Source organism: Homo sapiens, chromosome 5 (genome assembly GCF_000001405.40).
Source record: "Homo sapiens chromosome 5, GRCh38.p14 Primary Assembly".
Classification (NCBI taxonomy): domain Eukaryota; kingdom Metazoa; phylum Chordata; class Mammalia; order Primates; family Hominidae; genus Homo; species Homo sapiens.
Genome location: NC_000005.10, coordinates 143,872,223 through 143,876,810, shown reverse-complemented (window position 1 = coordinate 143,876,810; position 4,588 = coordinate 143,872,223).

The following is a 4,588-nucleotide window of genomic DNA, read 5'->3' as shown; positions in this document are numbered from 1 at the left end:
CTTCCACTCTGCCCCAGAAGAAGAACTGCCATCCTTCTACTCCAGGCTAACTCCTCGATCCATTCCATTCAAACTTCGTCAAGGATTTTGCCCCTTCACTGGTTTTTCCATTCTCTTTTATCTTTAGCCTCCTCTTTTTCTTTATTTGATGCCAACATATCCAAGTTTTCCCCAACTCTTTTCTCAGTCGAACTGCCGAATGGTCCTACCATGCTACACCTCCAGGCTTTCTTCCTAGCCTTCCTCTTTACATTACTATACTCTTTTAGAGTTATCTTCTCACTTCTCCAGTTCACTTCTGCTCATTCAGTTACCTCTGATTCCCATCCTTAATGCTCACTGGAAGCACAATCTGCTCAAGTCACCAGTGACTCCTAATTGCCAAATATGATGAGCATTCTTCAGTCCTTATTAATATCTTTATGTCATTAAACTCTGATCATAATTCTTTCTTGAAAGTCTTCCCTTCTTTGGACTCTGTACCATCAAAACCCTGGTTTGTTTCTTATCCCTCTGATAATTCTTAGTTCCTATGCAGACTTCTCTCTTTCTATCAAGGCCATCCAAGCCCCTTCTCTTCATTCTCTGTTCACTTTCTCTCTGACTGATCTTGTTGTCTATTCCAATGATTTCAGACTTAGATATTCCTACCTGCCAGACATCTCCATTGGAGTGTCTCATACACAATATGTCCAAACTGAACTCCATTATCTTTCCAATCAAGCAGCTTCTCTTCCTGAATTGCTTCCATATCTCATTCAATGGCACCATTGTTCCACAAGTTGACCTATCCAGAAACCTGGGAGTCATCCTGGACACCTTTCTCAACTCTCTCTGTCCAAATGCTTTGTCCTTAATAGATGTCCGTTCAACCCAGTTTCCTCTAACTGCTAAGTAGTTTTCTAATCCAACTGCTTTCCTCCACTTCCATCATCACCACTACCTTTCTCCTAGACCACAACAGCACTTTCCCTCCTTCCAGACTTCCTGCTTGATAATTCATCATACTACAACCCATGACACAGCTAAAAGCCTTTTAAAATCTGCACCCTGTCCAGATATCCACCCTAAACTTATGCCATTCTCCCCTTTGTTCAGTAATTACACTATTTTGAAGTTATCTCTGTCCTGGGATTCCCTAAGCTCCCTCTAGCTTTTCTCTTTTGGCCTCTTATTGTTCCTTAGGGCCCCTTCCTCCAGGATACCTCCACTGGTCCCTGTAAGAAGTCAGATGAGGATTTACTCCTTAGGCTATCTTTCTCTACTCACCTCCATGTGCTGCCATTGTTCTCACTACATTTATTGTCATTATTTAATTTTCTCATCTTTACTGGAATATAAGCTCAGAGAAGGCAAAAAGAATGTTTAACTTATTTTCCAAAGTATCCCCGAGACTAGAACCGTGTCATATTCATTGATGTTGTTCAAATTGTTTAATAACAGGTACATAAATGAATGTACTAAAAATTATTTGCTTATGGAACAATGGCTTTTGGTCCAAATCATTCTGCTACAAAATAAAATGATGGAACTATTTCCTCATTTTTGAGAAAAACTTTGGTTTAGAATTATCTTTAGCTCAAACAAACATGTCATAAGCCTCTCATATCTCCTACCAACCATGTATATACCACACTCTACAAGGGCCCATAAGGTCTGAAACAAGTTTGAGTGCCCAGTGTATACTCATTTTCTCACTCTTCCTCTCTGTCTGGCATATCATCTCTTCCTGCTGGGACCCACCTGTAATCCTCAACTGCCACATCATAGCTGGGTGTACTCTGCTCTATAAAAAGCTTCCAGCCAGCATGGTCACTGAGGGTACAAATACAGCCCTACACCCTGGCCCTGGTACAAGGCTGCAGAGAATCCAGAGGAAGAGGTGCCTTTTTGTAGTTTGTGTGCCTAGAGGATATCTTTTTGCAGTTTACACAAAAACTACCCAAAGTGTTAGCCAATGGCCATATGCCATTCTGCCCCTAATTTCTTGAAGTTCCAGTTCACAATTTATCTTGAATCATGAAAATAATCAAAAACCAGTTATCTCCAAACTGGCTTTTCTAACCTGGTTTCCAATGCACATGTTCCAAAAGATTGATCTAGTTGACCACTAAGAAGCCTTGCTGTTTCAACACATTTAAATCAGTCCCAGTTAAGCGTTTTGAATATGGGTTAAAGTGTTACCTCCTCCTCCGTGAAAATGTGACACCTCAGCATTTTTTCCAGTGGCAATTTGAGTAAAGAAACCATTTCTGCTTAGCAAAGCAGACAACAATTTGACCACCGGTTTGTGGGGTCATCTGCAAGTTTTGTGTAATTTCAAGTGTGGGGTGAGGGCAGCAGCAGTGGCCTGAGCCCTAGGAATTTAGCTCAGTGACCCAGCAAGTTGGGTATGTGCCCAGCCTGCATTAAGAAGGCATCCAACCGTGACTGTGTTGTTTGGTTCACTAAGGGCAGTGTAAATCATGTGGTTATTTTTTCTTGATTGTATAGACTTTTGTTTTCAGTCTTTAATTATACAAATGCATTTTCTAAATTATGCTCCTTGGGATGCTAATATGCATTCCATGGGTAAAAAGTTGTGTACAGTGGATTTGAGAAATGCTAGATTAATACAATTTAACAGGTTTCCTTACAGCAAGATTTATTGAAGACTTTATTATGCAAAAACAAATTATGAATCTCCAAAGAGAGAAGGCTGTAACATGCCACATTCCCAAACAGATGTGGCCATGAAACCTCCTTCAAAGTACAGTTCTTCCAGGGCTTGTGTTCCATGGAACCCACTCTAGGAAACATTGTTCGAAGCATTGCCTTCCAGAATCGCTTCTATGTTTCCCCCAAATTCCTGGATAACCAGCACATTCATCATGAGATTTTCTTTTCAATCATCATAGTATGGAATCAAACTGAATGACATCTGGAAAGTTTGATTTCACTAAAGGGTAGTAATTAATTCCATGAGATGGGCAGTGGCATTTAGTTTTGGGTACTCAGGCATGATAGAATTTAAAAATCTAGTTGGAGCTAAGAGAAAAGCACCACTTTGGAGTTAAATTCTACACCTGGCTTAGGTATGTTGGAGGCTTAGGTGGAGTAGGGAGGAAGACTGAAGAGGGTGGTTGGGGAAGGTAGTTGGAGATGGTTGTTTAAAAATTCTGATGTCCAGTCTACATCCTAGATCAATTACATCAAACCAGGAATGAAGGGATTGGGACTCTAAAATCAGTTTCTACACACTTAGGTCTCTGTGATGGTTCCAATTTTTGTCAACTTGTCTAGGCCATGGTACCCCATTTTTGTTCAAACACCAGTCTAGATGTTGCAGTGAAAGTGTGTGTCTTTTTTTAAAGATGTGATTAACATTTAAATCAGTAGACTTTGAGTAAAGCAGATTACCCTCCATAATGTGGATAGGCCACATCCAATCAGTTGAAGGCCTTAAGAGTTGAGGTCCCCAGAGGAAGAAGGAATTCTGCCTTTAGCCTGCCATCAGCCTGGAGTTGCAGCATCTACTCTATCCCAGCTCTTTAGCCTGCCGAGCTGCCCTGTAGATTTTGGACTTGACAGCCTCTACAATTATGCCAGCCAATTCTTCAAAATAAATCCTTGATAGCTAGATAAGTAGATACATATATACATATTATTCATGCCTTCTATTGATTTTATTGGTTCTACTTCTCTAGAGAACTCTGAGTAATTCAGTCTTGGATTTGATCACCTACCTTTACCAGGCGCATGGCCTCTCTAACCTTCTGCTGCATTTGTATTTTTCATTATAACTCATGAGTAGAATGACTGTTTTTGCAAAGTAACATACTAAATTCAAATAATAGCATCCTTTATATTTGGACAAGGAGAATAATACATTTTTACTTGACAAAATAAATTCTTTGATTGGCCTTGCTCTTAGTTAAATGTATCATGTTGATCTTGAACATTTTTAATAAGTAGATTTATATTAGAGACCAAATGTCAAAATTGTTTAAACTCGAAAAGGCCCAGTTTGCAATGAAATGAAACAGATTCTGGTGGATATTACTGAACTGCCAATAAGGATTAATTGAAACTCAAATGTTCTTTATTGTTTGTTAATTATGTAATTGTTATTCATCCAAGCTTCTTGATTTTTCATGTTAAATAATCATACTTGTGTTTCACCCCAGCCCCTCTGTTTAGTTACCCAATTAATTAAGGATGAGGAGATCTGCATTTATTAGCATTTTAATGGCCAGATTGATTCCCCATGGCCTAAACATCTACATGTGTTTAGTTTTTGAGCTCAGGTTTATTCCATTTTAAGTGATTATCATGTTTAATCACAGATGCAAGAAACTGAAAACCATGACCTGAAACATCCAGCCCAATCTACCTCATTAAAACTGCCCCTTGATGATGAAGTTCAAGTGTTGAACTTTTGATTGGCAAGGCCAATCAAATAATTTATTTTGTCAAGTAAAAATGTATTATTCTCCTTGCCCAAGCACTACAAAGGAATCGCACATGGGCAAGGCTAGAATTGGTTAGAAATCACCGGCAGCCAGGGATTCCTGTGCTCTTGGCAGTTCCTATCTTTGAAAAACCAAAG